Source organism: Homo sapiens, chromosome 11, assembly GCF_000001405.40.
Source record: "Homo sapiens chromosome 11, GRCh38.p14 Primary Assembly".
Lineage (NCBI taxonomy): Eukaryota > Metazoa > Chordata > Mammalia > Primates > Hominidae > Homo > Homo sapiens.
In genome coordinates this window covers 108,699,843-108,716,233 of record NC_000011.10, presented here as the reverse complement: position 1 = coordinate 108,716,233, position 16,391 = coordinate 108,699,843, and the positions used below count along the sequence as shown (strand labels likewise).

At 37.9% G+C, this 16,391-nt stretch overlaps 1 protein-coding gene and 1 long non-coding RNA gene across 2 annotated transcripts in view; one reads left to right on the top strand and one right to left on the bottom strand.

The window, feature by feature from the left end:
• Nucleotides 1-16,391, bottom strand: part of DDX10 (DEAD-box helicase 10) — a 275,859-nt gene that overhangs the window by 224,694 nt on the left and 34,774 nt on the right. Inside the window, exons 10-11 of the mRNA NM_004398.4 lie at nt 9,397-9,495; nt 268-355 (exon numbers count right to left, since the gene is read on the bottom strand). Coding sequence (NP_004389.2) covers nt 268-355; nt 9,397-9,495 — 187 coding nt within the window. The remainder of the gene's footprint in view (nt 1-267; nt 356-9,396; nt 9,496-16,391) is intronic.
• The window catches only part of LOC124902750 (uncharacterized), an 80,188-nt gene that overhangs the window by 63,461 nt on the left and 336 nt on the right, over nt 1-16,391 (top strand). The gene's annotated exons all lie outside the window — the stretch shown is intronic.

The window sequence follows — 16,391 nt, the reverse complement described above, 5'->3', positions numbered from 1 at the left end:
GTCCCAGCTACCCGGGAGGCTGAGGCACAAGAATCACTTGAGCCTGGGAGACAGAGGTTGTAGTGAGCTGAGATCATGCCACTGCACTCCAGCTAGGGCTACAGAGTGAGACTCCATCTCAAAAAAAAAAATAAGCTAGACTTATCTGTCAGCAAATTACACTGCTTGAATATCTGAAGCATAAACATGCAACCTAGAAGTAGCAGAAAATGATAAACTTTACTGTTTTTCCAGTCAATGAAAGTATCCAACTGAAAAATGACTTACCCTTTGAGCTCTTTCTTTTAAATCTTGATCTTGAGCTAAAATAGATTCCAATTTTTTCTGGACATCTATAAGTTTTTCTGGATTGATTCTTTGTAACAAAAAGATAAAGGTTAAAATAAGATATCTCAAATTTGGAGACTAAAAATAGTAAGCAGCATTTTCCTATTTTCCTCAGTATTTTTAAATGTATAACTATTTCTCATCTATGAATCAGATTAGACGGAAATTAAACTAGACATAAGTTTGACACTCTTACCTACTATGAATAACACAGGAGAAAGAAATGACATGTCAGACACTTTCTCCAAACATCCCATGCTGAGTGAAATACTTGGATTAACACCACAGTTAGCATTGGCTACTTAACTCAACAGATAGAAAGTAGTCTCCCATGAGAGATCCATTCTATATGAAATGGAATAAATTAAATCTAATTTTTTTAAGAGGTCTCACCCCGCTCCCTCAGTGAGGCTGGAGTGTAGTGGTGCAATCATAGCTCACTGTAACCTTGAACCCCTGGACTCAAGTGACCCTCCCCCATCTCAGCTTCTCAAGTAGCTAGGACTACAGGCTTGCACCAACATGCACGGCTAGTCTGTTGTTTGCTTTTTCTTTTGCAGAGACATGGTCTCACTGTTTTGCCCAGGCTGGTCTGGAACTCCTGGCCTCAAGCAATCCTTCTGCCTTGGATTCCCAAAGTGCTGAGTTACAGGTGTGAGCCACCATGCCTAGCCCTAATGTCATTTTTATAAATGTTTCTGTTTCAGTCAAATATCATAAAATCAATTTCAAGTAATAAACAAGTAGCCAAAGATTGTAGTGATTTCCTTATTTAGAAATTAGGCATACTATAACAGAGATGATATCTAACTCTGCCCAGATAAGCTACAGGGAAAGAAAAAAAAAATTTTAAAGAGGTCTAGGCTTCACAAAAGAGACCTCATTGTTTCTCTGATTTTAGGCTGAACCACGTTGTTTCTGCAAAGCCAGAATGGTGATAGGTGGTGGTAGGTGAGATTGTTTTTACTTATTTTTATTATAAAAAATTTCAAAATATACAAAAGAAAAGTTAGAGACTTTCACTCAGCCTCAACAATTACCAAGTCACAGCCAGTTTTGTCTCTTCTACATCCTCAACTCTCCTCCCCAAATCTAACCACTCTCCAAATTATTTTTAGGCAAATCAAGCCAGGGTGTTTCAACAGCGCCAATACAAGTAAGATTCTGATGGATCCCACTGATGCTGAATGTACACATCCTTAGTGACAGGAGATCACAACTCTCTGAAATGGATAGACAACCCCAAAAGTAATTCCATCCAAGAGATTTCATTCTTTCAATCATCAGTGCTTCCTGAAGTTAACAAGTTCTCCATCTCATGTTCTCCACTAATAGTCTTCAGAAAAGGCCGTTTAAGACTTTAAAAAAAAAAAAAAAAGAGTCAGACTTCTGATATCCAGTTCCCTATGGATGGAGCTTGTAAGTCATCACTCCATCATAACAATAAGTAAAAAGCTGAACAGATTGGAAAAAAAAATTTAAAACTCTTCTTTTATCCATGATAAAGATGGACAACACAGGACAAACCACAGTCCCAACACAGGAAAGAGAGAGGTGAGTACAGGGATCACAGCTTACTTGAGCTGAGTCATGAGCAGAAACAACTGGGGGAGGCAGTGCCTGGGTGAGAGACCCTCAACTGTAATTGATAAAACCTGCTGGAGCCTCAATGTGGACAAGTCTGAGAAATAAAAACTCCAGGAGGACCCATTCATAAGGCAGCCCCACACTCATGAGTTTTACTCCAGGAGCTCAACCAAGTTCTCACAGTAAATATCAGAAAAATTCCCTCATGCTTTCAGCAAAACAAGGGGAAAATGAACCATTTTGAAATATGCCTGAGCACTCTGTTCTTAACTAGTTTCTCCTGAGGGTGGGCCTTGTTAATGAAAGTCAAGCCTCTTAGGGTTTTATCTGAGCCTAACTGACCTGAGGGGAGGGAAATGCCCAACTCTAGCCATCCTTTCCCACTTAAGTTGGGGTGATGGGAAGGCAGAGACTGAAAAGAATTTGTAAAGTTCACAGTCCGGAGGCATAGGCTCACAAAAAGACTGAGACCTACTATAGGTCTTAAGAATGCTTTCCTCACAGCCCCCACCCTCTCACACCTTACCACCACAGCACTAACATCACTAAAGGCCTATTTACAGCAATTCTTTTTATAATACCTGGTACATCGTATCTATCATGAAAAACATTACAAGACATACTAAAAGCAAAAAACATAATTTGAAGAGACAGAGCAAGCATCATAACCAGACATGGCAGGGATGTTGGAAGCATTAGGCCAGAAATGTAATTTAAACTAACAGTGACTCATATGCTAGGGATTCTAATAGATAAAACAGGCAGCATGCACAGATGAGCAACATAATAAGATGGAAATCCTAAGAAAGAACCGAAAAGAAATGCGAGAGAACAAAAAGAACTGTAACACATATTACTAATACCTTTGATGGGTTCATTACTAGATTGGACACAGCTGAGGGAAGAATCTCTGAACTTGATAAAAACTTCCAAACCTGACTGAAAACAACACAACAGAACTTCAAGGACTATGGAACAACTACAAAAAGTGAACATACACATGATGTTCTTTCTGAATATCAGAAAGAGAACAGAAACAGAAGCAATGCTTCAAACAGTAATGACTCAGAATTTCCCCCAAACTCATGTCAGACACCAAACCACAGATCCAAGAGCTCAGAAAGCTCCAAGCAGGACAAATGCCCAAGCGAGAGGGAGAGACAGAAAAAGACAGACTGAGACTATACCTAGGCATATCACTGTCAAACTACAGAAAATTAAATATTTTTTTAATCCTGAAAGAAGTGGACGGGGGGCACCTCATCTATAGAGGAACAAAGACAGGAATTACACCTGATTTCTCAGACACCATGCAAGCAAGGAGAGAGTGAAATGAAATATTTAAAGTGTGGAGAGAGAAAAACCACCAGCCTGGAACTCTGTATCCCACAAAATTATCCTTCAAAAGTGAAAGAGAAACACTTTTTCAGACAAACAAAAATTGACAAAACTTATTGCCAGTAGAATTGCCTTGCAAAATATGTTTAAAAGTTCTTTAGAGAGAAAAAAAAAAACGTAAGTGAGAAACTCAGATCTTCATAACAAAGGAAGAGCACATCAAAGGAATAAATGATGGTAAAATAAAATTTTTCTTATTCTTAATCTAAGTTTTTTCAAATTAATAGCCCCAGCGTGTTTAATTATGTATGTTTATGTATATATCTTATGTATATACGCTTATGTATGCTTTACATAAGTGAAATGAATGACATCAATGATATAAGGGACACGAGGGAGAAATCAGAATTACGTTATAAGGTACTCACACTACCTGTGAAGTGCTGTAGCATTATGTCATTATTTCAAAATGGGCTTTGGATTACTTGCAAAAACATTAGAGCAATCACTAAAAAAAGTGAAAAAGAAAAAAAAAACTGGTATGCTAAGGAGAGAAAACAGTCATAAAATGCTCAGAATCACAAGAGGCTGAAAGAGAGGAGACAAAAGTAAGAATAACAGGGGCAACTAACAAAAAACAGTAACGAATACATTAGATATTCATCCAACTATATCAAAAATCACTTTCAACATCAATAGCCTAAATGCATCAATTAAAAGAGATGTTGTCAGAGTGGATCAAAAAACAAGACCCAACTGTATGTTGTCTACAATAAACCAACTTTCAATATAAAGACACATAAATTAATGAAAGTGGTTTGATAAAAAATATATCATGCTAACACTAATCAAAAGAAAGCAAAAATAGCTATACTAATGTCAGACAGAGCAGACTTCCAAGCAATAAACTTATCAGGGATAAATGGCATGACATAATGATAAAGAAGTCAATTCTCCAAAAAGGCAACAATCCTTAACGTATAGGCTCCTAACAATACAGCATCAAACTATGTGAGGCAAATACTGATAGAATTGCAACCAGAAAGATGAATCCACTGTTATAATTAGAGACTTCAACACCCTACTATCAGGAATAGACAAATCCAGCAGGCAGAAAGTCAGTAAGAACATAGTTGAACTCAACAATACCATCAATCAACTGGACACAACAGCCATCTAGAGACTACTTTATCCAACAACATAATACACATCTTCTCAAGCTCACATGGAACATTCACCAAAATAAAACACATTCTGGGCCATAAAACACATCTTAACAAAATTAAAATAATATAAATCATACAATATCTGCTTTCAGACCACAATGGAATTAAACTAGAAATAACAGAGGCCAGGCACAATGGCTCACACCTGTAATCTCAGTACTTTGGGAGGCCGAGGAGGGCAGATCACCTGGGGTCGGGAGTTCAAAACCAGCCTGGCCAACATGGCGAAACCCCACGTCTACTAAAAATACAAAAATTAGCCAGGCATGGCGGCACGTGTCTGTAATCCCAGCTACTCAGGAGGCTGAGGCAGGAGAATTGCTTGAACCCAGGAGGTGGAGGTTGTAGTGAGCCGAGATCGTGCCACTGCACTCCAGCCTGGGCGACAGATCAAAACTCTGTCATAACATAACATAGAAATAGCAGAAAGGTAACTGGAAAATTCTAAAATACATGGAGATTAAACACACCTCTGAATAACACAAGTCAAAACAAAATCAAAATACTTTAAAATTTCTCTTGAATTAAATAAAAATGAAAATAACTTAGCAAACTTTGTGGAATGCAACAAAAGCAGTACTTAGAGGGAAATTTATAGCACTGAATGCATATACAGTCATGGGCCACATAATGATGTGTCAGTCAGTGATGGACTGCATATACAACAGTGGTCTCATAAGACTGTAATGACAGCCAGGAGCAATGGCTCACACCTGTAATTCTAGCACTTTGGGAGGCCAAGGCAGGAGGACTGCTTGAGCTCAGGAGTTCAAGATCTGCCTCAGCAACATAGTGAGACCTTGTCTCTACTAACAATAAAACAAATTAACCAGGCATGGTGGCGCAGGCTACTCGGGAGGATCACTTAGGCCTAGGAGACTGAGGCTGCAGTGTGCTAGTGAAGCTGAAAAATTTCTATCACCTAGTGATGTCGCAGCCATCATAACACTATAGGGCAATACATTACTCATGTGTTTATGGTGATGCTGGTGTAGGCAAACACACTGCACTGACAGGCACTTACAGTTAGGTATGGTACATAATACTTGAAAATGATAAACAACTATTACTGATTTATTCACCATACTTTTTATTTTACAGTATTTTCCTTCTACTTATAAAAACACCCTCAGGCAGGTCCCTCAGGAAGTACTAAAGAAGGAGGCATTGTTATCATAAATGATGACAGCTCCATGCATGTTACTGCCCCTGAAGGCCTTCTAGTGGGACGATGTGAAAATGAAAGACAGTGATATTAATGATCCTGACCCTGTGTAGGCCTAGGCTCCATTTAAAAAAAAAAAAGTTTTAAGGGAAAACAAATATTTTTAACCAAAAAAAGCTTGTAGAGTAAAGATATAAAGAAAATATTTTTGTGTAGCTGTATAATGTGGGTTTTAAGCTAAGTGTAATTACAAAAGAATCAAGAAGCTGAAAGTTTATAAAACAAAAAAAGTTACAGCAAGCTAAGGTTACTGAAGAAAAAAAGTTTAGTGTAGCCTACGTGTACAGTGTTTACCAAGTCTACACTTGTATACAGTAATGTGCTAACTCTTCACATTCATGCACCACTCACTGACACCCAGAGCAACTTCCAGTCCTGCAAGCACTGTGGTAAGTGCCCTATGCAGGTATGCTTTTTATCTTTTATACTGTATTTTTACTGTGCCTTTTCTATGTTTAGACATGCTTAGATACACAAATACCTACCATTGTGTTCAATTGCCCACAGTATTCAGTGTACAGCATGTACAGTATTCATGCTATAAAGGTTTGCAGCCTAAATGCAATAGGCTATACCATATAGCCTAAAATTAATGATCCATTGCTCACACTTATTCCCATCATTAAGCAACATATGACTGTATTAGAAAGAAAGTACCTAAAAATCAATCATCTACAGTTCCAACTTGGGAAACAGAAAAGGGGTAAATTAAATCAAAAGCAAGCAGAATAAATAAGAACTAGAGTAGAAATGACTGAAATTGAAAACAGGAAATCAATAGGGGGGAAAAAATTAAACCAAGAGCTGGTTCTTTGAAAAAAATAAACAACTAAAAAAAGTCATAAGCCTATAACCATACTAAGAAAACAAAAGGATACAAGTTATTATTAGAAATGAAAGAAGGAATATCATTACAAATCCCATGGACATAAAAAGGATAAAAAGATTATGAACACCTCTATGCCCACATATTTGATAACCTAGATGAAATGGACCAATTCCTTGAATGACAAAATCTGCCAAACTCTTACAAGAAATAAACACTCTCAATAGGCTACTATCTATTAAAAAAATTGAATCAATAATTCATAACCTTCCAAAACAGAAATCACCAAGCCCGGATGGGCTCGCCCATAAATTCTACCAAACATTTAAGAAAGAAATGCCAATTTCCTATAATCTCTTTCAGAAGACAGAGTCAGAGGGAATACTTCCTAACTCATTCTATGAGGCCACTACAGGGGAGAAAAAACTACAGACCAATATCACTCATAATGATAGATGCAAGTCCTCAACAAATACAAAAAACCTACTGCTAATATCATACTTCATGGTGAGAAACTGGAAGCTCTCCCGCTAAGATCAGGAAAAAAGCAATGATGTCCCCTCTCACCACTGCTGTCCAACATCATTCTAGAAGTCCTAATTAATGCAATAAGACAAGAAAAGGAAATAAAAGGCATACCGATTGGGAAAGAAATAAAACTGGCTTTGTTCACAGATCCATGATCATCTATATAGGAAATCGAAAAGAATGGACAAAGAAACTTCTAGACTAATAAGCAATCATAGCAAGACTACAAGATTGAAGATTAATATACAAAAGCTAATCACTTTCCTGTTTTTATCACAAATGAAAAAGGGAACATCACCACAAAACCCACAGACATCAAAAGGATAAAAAGACTACTATGAACAAATTTGGGAGGCCAAGGCAGGCAGATTGTTTGAGGCCAGGAGTTCGAGACCAGCCTGGCCAACATGGCAAGACCCCATCTCTACTAAAAATACAAAATTTAGCCAGGCATGGTGGCACATGCCTGTAATTCTAGCTTCTTGGGAGGCTGAGGCATGAGAATTGCCTGAACCCAGGAGGTAGAGGTTCCAGTGAGCCAAGATTGCAAGACTGCACTCTAGCCTGAACGACAGAGCAAGACTCTGTCTCAAAAAAAAAAAAAATACTATGAACACCAATTTACCAGCAATAAATAAATGGAATTTGAAACTAAAAACAATACCATTTACATTATTAGCACTCCCAAAAATGAAACATTTAGGTATAAATCTAACAAAATATTAGCACATTGAATCCAACAAGATATAAAAATCATTATACATCATAACCAAGTGAGAATTATCCCAGGAATGCAAGGCTGGTTTAACATTCCAAAAAAAAAAAAAAAAGACCTTAATGTACTCCATCACATCACCAGGCTAAAAAAGAAAAAAAAAAAATCACATGATCTCATCAGATTTTAAAAAAAAAATTTTTTTTAACAAAATCCAATATCCACTCATGATCTTTTTTTTTTTTTTTTTTAACTCAGTAAACTAGGAATAGAGGACAATTTCCTCACCTTGATAAAGAATATCTACAAATGCTGGCAAGAATGTGGAGCAACAGGAACTCTCATTAATTGCTGGCAGGAATTCAAAATGGTGTAGCCACTTTGGAAGACAGTTTGGCAGCTTCTTACAAAATGAAACATATTCTTACCTTCTGACCCAGCAATCAAGCTCCTTGGTAATATTTATCCAAAGGAGTTGAAAACTTAGGTCTACACAAAAACCTTCACATGGATGTTTATAGCAGGTTTACTAATAACTGCCAAAGCTTGGAAGCAATTAAGATGTCCTTCAGACCTTTGAAAGCTGAACGTTAATCCAACATCCACTAGTTATAAGACTTAAGTAGGATTAAGGGAACTGCTGAGAAGAATCTAATTGTAGCTTTTTGGTTTTAATATTACTGATGTGGTTTAACATATTTTTATTAAGGGAATGAAAAGATCTTTTCTCTTCTTGATCTATCTTTAACCCTCTATTTAGTAACCTATAAATGACATTCTTTATATAGCACCTTATTCTCCCTGACCCCTCAGAATTCAGACAACTTACTAGCCTTTATGGCAATGTGGTTATTTGCATAAAATCAATACAAATCTGTCCTTTTTATAACCAGGCTATAGCTGGTTATATAAACAAGGTCAAAACAAAACTAACAAAAAAATCTCCTTCAGTAGGTGAATAAAAACTGTTGCGTCCAGACAATGAAATGTTATTCAGTACTAAAAGGAAATGTACTATGAAGCCATGAAAAGACATGGAGGAAACTTAAATGCATACTACTAAGTGAAAGAAGCCAATATGAAAAGGCTAGGTACCGTATAATTCCAACTATAATATATGACATTCTGGAAATAAAACTATAGAGACAGTAAAAAGATCAGTAGTTGTCAGAGGTTCAGGGGGAGGGGAGGGGAATAAATAGGCAGAGCACAGGATTTTTAGAGCAGTGAAAACTGCCATATGATATTAAAATGGTAGGTATGCATCATTACACATTTGTGCAAGCACACAGAATGGACACCACCAAGAATGAACCCTAGTGTAAACTATGGACCTTGGTGAATAACATCAACATAGGTTCATCAATTGTAGCAGATGTATTCTGGTGGGGGACGTTGATAATGGCAGAGGCTGTGCATGTTTGGGGAATGGGGTATATGAGAAATCTATCTTCCTCTCAATTTTCCTGTGAACCTAAAACTGTTCTAAAAAGAGCCTTTTTATAAAAGTCAAACCAGGCAGTTGAATAAATTAGGGGAAGGGGCAAATTAGGTGCACATAATTAAGCAAACAATTTCATGCCCTCATTTTCCTAAAAACATAAAGACAACAAGTAGCTCTTACTTGATTTCCTTCACAGGTACTTTCTTCTGAAGAAGCTGCTGCACCATAGCTTTTTCTGAGGGTAGCAAAATTAGCAAAGCTTCACCATCCTCTTTGTACCTAAACAAAAAGAAACAAAATCTTTAACACATCAATGCAATCTGCATTTTACATTTTAACAGAGTGATGCATAGGTAAACATGGAAACCATTTTTGTCTAACCATAAATGTCAGAGACTGGCTTTTAATCTCTGATAACAGAAAACTAGGGCTCTGAACACCTCATATCATTTTCATCACTAGTTATCATTCCCAGTGACTTTTAGGCTGTTCCACAGATGATGATCTAAATTCTAAGAAAGAAATCAATTAAAGAGATTTTCTTAAATAGCTCTCTACCCATATAACAAGGAGACAATTTCTCACTCAAGCCACTAGAGGATCATAATAAAGTTAATCTTTGAATAAATACAGCACCCAATATATACTTTTTTTAAAAAAAAATCAATTCCTCTTCCTGGGGATTTTATTTACACCTTGGAAGTAAAATTGTTCTGAAGCATTAGTTATAAGAAATAGATCTGTTCGGCCGGGTGCGGTGGCTCATGCATGTAATTCCAGCACTTTGGGAGGCCGAGGCGGGTGAATAACCCGAGGTCAGGAGTTTGAGATCAGTGTGGCCAACGTGGTGAAACCCTGTCTCTACTAAAAATGCAAAAATTAGCTGGGCATGGTGGCAGGTGCCTGTAATCTCAGCTACTAGGGAGGCTGAGGTAGGAGAATTGCTTCAACCCAGGAGATGGAGGTTGCAGTGAGCTGAGATCATGCCACTGCACTCCAGCCTGGGCAACAGAGCAAGATTCCGTCTCAAAAAAAAAAGAAAGAAATAGAACTGTTCAAGTAAAATGCTTGCCTCCAATCCATGTTACTTCTCTTCCCTCACCTAGTAAAATCTTATTTCCTGCTGCATCTTCAGAAATTTGTACTGACATGGGCCACAAGACATCCTGTAGTTACTAAGCTTCTTGTGCTACTTGCATACAGATTTTCCCAATACCTTAATGTCAGCCATTACATACAAGCAGTAAAACAGAGAACACAACGGATACTTGGAGAAATTTTTTAAATAAAAAGAAGAAAAAATCTCAAAGCACTCTCACCAGGATTCATACTATAAAATGTGAGAAGCAAATAAACTTTTTACTGAGAAACTTTGTGGTGGGTGGGCATGAACTGTAAAGAACATAAAGAAACAGAAGATGAAAATCCCTGTCTCCAGTGATCTAATGTTCCTGTTAACTAGAAAAAACAAACACACAAGTAAAACAGTCAAGAGAACAGTCACAAAACAGTAAATAAGTAGGTGCTAAAGGACAACCATGGGCAATAAACACCAACTCAGAAAGGAAAAGAGGCCACTCAGGGTTAGCCAGAGAAAAACAAAAACATGTCATAGAATATGAAATGAAATTTCAGGTGGGCCTTGAAGATGGAAAAGAAATACAAGTTTAAAGCTGTCCCCCTAGGCAGTATTGGACTAAACCATCCATGCAGCCGGAAGTCATTAGCATCTAAAGTAGTGAAGAGAATAAGGTACTACAAAGGAGGAGAATGGCATGAACAAGGGAGTGGAAGCCAGAAAATACAAGGAAAATGTATTAAAGAGTGAATAAGAAAAAGAGAAATTCCACTGAAGCCAGCGTACACAAACAGCAGGAAAGATTGCTAGAAAGGTACATTAGAGCCTGCTTTTAGAGGCCCCAGAATGTCTCTGCATACAGAGATTGAATACCACCAATATGTAAGTAGAATTTTATCATCAAATGCTGGAAGGAAAAACTGGCTTTGACATACTGAGAGGTGGCACTGCCTGGAGAAACCAACATCTAAACTAAGACCTAAAGAATAATTAGGAATTTGTCCGACATTAGGGGAAGGGATATAGATGGGGTAGTCGAGTTTTCCATGGGATAAGGCACCATTTGAGAGTCCAGTGGATACTTTCATCTTCTTCACACCTACTTGCTTTTTCTAGTCAACAGACAGGGGACAGAGGGAGGCTGAACATACAATTTACTACTTTCACCAATTATCTGTTTTAGAACTGAAAGACTAATACCAAATACCTTCCTCATAGTATTTTAACACAAAATAATATGACTCAAAGATCTTCATCTTCGTTCACTAACAAAATTATGAATTTAAAGCAGACCCCTAAGCAGTATGGGACCAAACCATGTATGAAGGCAGCATTCACTAGCACATGAAGCAGTGAGGTGACACACTGAGCAGACAAGATAATGGAGAGATGTCGTAACTTCTGAAGCTCTCACACTCCACCAAGGAAAGATTGCAGGTCCAAAGAGGACAGGAATCAGTTAATGCTGACTCCTAAGCAGTACACTTCCAAAACGCCCTTGAGGCAGCCAGACTCTTGAGGTTAAGCGAATTACCTTCAGAAGTAGAAAGGCTTATTCTGTTTGGAACCATAAGGACAGAGAACAGTGAGCTGAGGGCTAGGCAACAGTCAATCCTTTTAATACTCTATATTCAAGTTCATAGATGGCAAGATGAAATAAATAGGCCCACAAATCTACATAGGGCAAGAACTTTGGCAAAGAGTAAGAGAACCTAGGAGACCAAAAAGGCATTCACTCAATGTTCTCTCATGTTCCAACTGACTCCTAGAAAGGAATAATAAGGCTAGTCACACCTCTGTCCATCTCATCTACTCATTCCCAGGGAGCACCTGGGAGGATGAGTCAGGACTAAAGTCACAAAGGGCCCATGATCAAACCTTTTAAAGCCACAGCTAACAGAATATATATAGAAGGCTACACAAGGTTAAGACAAATAGTAACAGTGGAATTTTAGAAGAAAAAGACTCCCAATGGAAAATGGAAAATGCCCAAAGTCAAATCCATAAGGCAAGCACCCATTAAAAAGATTACTGGCCATTTTACCTATTTTACATTACACACATCTTTTCCCTAAAACATAAACCACAAGTTATCTCCCACACGCTAATACCAAAAGTTCCCCAGTAAGCTTTTATTCTAGAATAAAAGCACTTTTTAAAAGAAGGCATAAGAACATTTCACTTTTTTAAAAAATGCTTGCAAGAACAAAGTCTATTTACCCATGAGCAAGCTTTTAGATTTCAAAAGCAATATTCAAGGCCCAAGGCTAAACATATAAGAAATAAGTGTTCTTCAAAAGATCTACACTTTAGGCCAAGCGCGGTGGCTCAGGCCTGTAATCCCAGCACTTTGGGAGGCCGAGGCAGGTGGATCATGAGGTCAAGAGATCGAGACCATCCTGGCCAACATGGTGAAACCCTGTCTCTACTAAAAATACAAAACTTAGCTGGGAGTGGTGGCACACGGCTGTAGTCCCAGCTACTCGAGAGGCCAAGGCAGGAGAATTGTTTGCACCTGGGAGGCAGAGGTTGCAGTGAGCAGAGATCGCGCCACTGCACTCCAGCCTGGAGACAGAGTGAGACTCCACCTCAAAAAAAAAGATCTACACTTTAAAATTCTATATTTAGACAGATTTGTTTTCAAAACATATTTATTTCAAATCGATAAATTATATTTATCATGTACAACATGATATCTTAGAGTATACACATTGTGTCTTAGTATACACACATTGTGGAATAGTTAAGTCTAGCTAATTAAAATATGCATTACCTCACAGAGTTATCATTTTTGTGGTGAGAACATTTAACATCCACTCTCAGCATTTTTCAAGAATACAATACAGTATTATTAACTAGTCACCATGATGAACTATTTTAACAGAGTCTAGCCGCCCGATAACAAGCATCTGAAACAAAATTTCATTTTTGCCATCAATATCAATACTATATTTAATTTATGCAGCTCTTCCAAATTTATGAAAAACATTTTTTGTATTAATATATAAACTTGCAGATCTTAAAAGCAAGCAACCAGTAGGAAGTAGCAATACAAAATAGTATTTCTGAGAGCCCAAGAGGTTGGCCTAAAATCAGCTGGTTACTAATATCAGAGACTTTAAACCTCTAAATCCACCACTTTTTCAGTTATACCAGAATTCCCTCCAGAAACAAGAATACTCAACAGATTGGTCATGATTGTCTAGCTGATATCAGAAAGCTTATCTCCACATCCTGCAGCTCACTAGTATTTCTAGTTAAAATAGGAATCCAGTCCATTGGCTTGGGTGTACCAGTTAATTCTTCCACTGAAATAACCTTCAAACAAACTAGAGCCAGAGGCAGGAAAAAAGCCCTGCCATTCTAGCAATAATTTGCCTTCTACCACTCAAATTCAGATTCTCCAACCCATCAACTCCATTCTAGTTGGGTCTTTAATTGTCCCTTAAACTTTGCTCATTCATCCTTCCCACTATTGTCCTACCATGGTCTGTGATACGCTATTCACAACTGCCTAGCCACCCTCAGTTCTCTTAGCCTGGTTCTCCATGTTACAAGTTAGGTTACAAAAAGTTTATTTAGAACAATCCCATTTTTGTAACTAGAAAAAATATATGCAGACATACACGAAAAAAACATTTCTAAGTGGTGGATTTTAGGTGATTTTAATTGTTTTGTCATTATTGTCTAGAATCTGTACAGTTAGTAAGCATTATTTTTGTACTACAAGTTATTAAAAATAAGTTTTTTAAAAAAACTATGTTTTTAAGACCTATATCTTTTGTTTCACTCTTACCTTATTTAACATACATCCTAATACTACCAATATCAGTATATGTCCTTATCTTATTAAATTTGAGGGCATGTGTCATGTGTCATGTGTCCCTAAAACATGCACAACAAATATTTGGTGAGTGAACACTAGAAGCTGTTTCAGCAGATAAAACTCCAAACTTGGCCAGGCGCAGTGGTTCACGCCTGTAACCCCAGCACTTTGGGATCCAGGCGGGTGGATCACCTGAGGTCAGGAGTTTGAGACCAGTCTGGCCAACATGGCAAAACCCCGTCTCTGCTAAAAGTACAAAAATTAGCCAGGTATGGTGGCGCACCCTGTAGTTCCAACTACTCAGGAGGCTGAGACAAGAGAATCACTTGAACCCGGGAGGCAGAGGTTGCAGTGAGCCAAGATCGCGCCACTGCACTCCACTCTGGGCGACAGAGTCACAGACACTCAGTCACAAAAAAAAAAAAAAAAAAAAAAAAAGAGAAGAAGAAGAAAGAAAAAACACCAGATTTAGAGTCAAAAGAACTGGGTTCTAGTCCTGTTGTACTATTAGCTATTAGCTGTATAACTTTAGATAAAATAAATCACTATTTACTACATTTTCTTATTTCTACATTATACAATTGACTGATTTATGTCCCTTTAGGATCTAAAACTCTACAACTCTGACTACTGATATGCTAGTCACTGCTCACAATACAATAATCAAGAAGTGGAGAAAGGGAGACATTTGTTGGTTACGCTCTACTATCGCACAGTCCTCTCTTTTTCCCGCCCTGTATCTCCTTCTATTCTCCCTATACCTCAGCCTTACCTATGACAACCATCCCCAAGATTTCATGTCACTGGGGGAGAACAGTGCAGTCTGTTATGCAGGTGCAGAAAGACAGCCATAAGGGATCTGAGTCCAACTGTTCTGTTCCTCCTGCACAACATGGTACAAAGGAGAGCTTATTCCAAGAAAAAGGGTATCTCTGACTTATGGAATGTCTGACGATTCTATACTAGATTTAAAAAAGGAAAAAAGAACAGGTTTGGAAATATTCTGGGGAAAAGAAAGTCATCTGCACCTTAAGATCTCAAATAACAAACAGGTATACCATGTCAGGCCCAACAGTGACAAATGAAGTTCACTGTAAGTAATTAGAGAGAAACCAAGCTGGCTAATACGTATTGCATGGAAAGCTTCTAGCACTGACTAAGAACAAGGATTTATGGGGTTCACAGAGAAAGGGTAGAAATCATTAAATTCTATCAACTTTGTCCCCTGAAAAGAATTAAAAAAAAAAAAGGTAAATTGTAACACATTAAGAATAAAAAGAAACCGCAAATCAAAGTGGTACTGCTACCTAAAATTATACTTCCAGGAAATAAGAGTTAGATACAATTAACCCCATTTTACCAGAGAAGAAACTGAGGCTTAGAGAAGTTAAAGACTTGTCCAAGGGTACACGGTCATTAGTGACAAAGTCCAATTCAAACCTAAGATTCCTGACTTTCTAAAAGCAGTGATGGAACAACTACAGGATGTCTATCTCTCCTAGTCCAAAGAAAGAAAATGCATATACTAGTTCGTCTTCATGACCACAAATGTCAACAAATTTGAAGACATCTACCTTTCTTCTCCCAGTAACTGGCTCTCATGCATTCTAGAAGCCCTGCATGGGAGCTGCAGGTCTGCGCTATTAGATGTAATCCATTAGATGTAAACAGCTGGATCAGGGCACACTGGCAAGAATGAGTTCTAGAGTCAGAAAGATCTAAGCATAAATCCCAGGCCTGGTACTTACTAAACTGAGAAATCATCGACATAATCTACCTCAAAGTCTCTGAGAAAGAGTTTCCTAATATGAGAACCTCTTTCATGAGTTGTTCTATGGGCTAAATGAGTTTATTCATACAAATATTTATTGAGTTTGGGAAGCAAAAGGCTAAACCACAGTCCATTCGTTCTTTGTGTGGTACAGGGGTGGGAGGTAGGGAAGAGGATGCCCTGCGCTCCCTCCACCCCAATAAAAGTGATATGGTCAAATCTCCTAGAAAACATATTAATGACAGATCTCCAGGGAAACAAACATGGTATTTGCTAGGTGAGAGTCCTCACCTATGAGAGGCTTTTAATAGGATGCACCATGGTTGTTCACAATTTATGGATTTGAAAGTATGTTTCTCTGGTGGGCTTTGTAACCGAGTATACAAATAGTCCATCTATGCAAGTGTCCATCTAAGCCACACACTATTTAGAGTCTCCTATGTTAACCTGGGCCAGAGCATGCCCTAATTTGGCAAGAAAATAACCAGGGAGCTATAGTG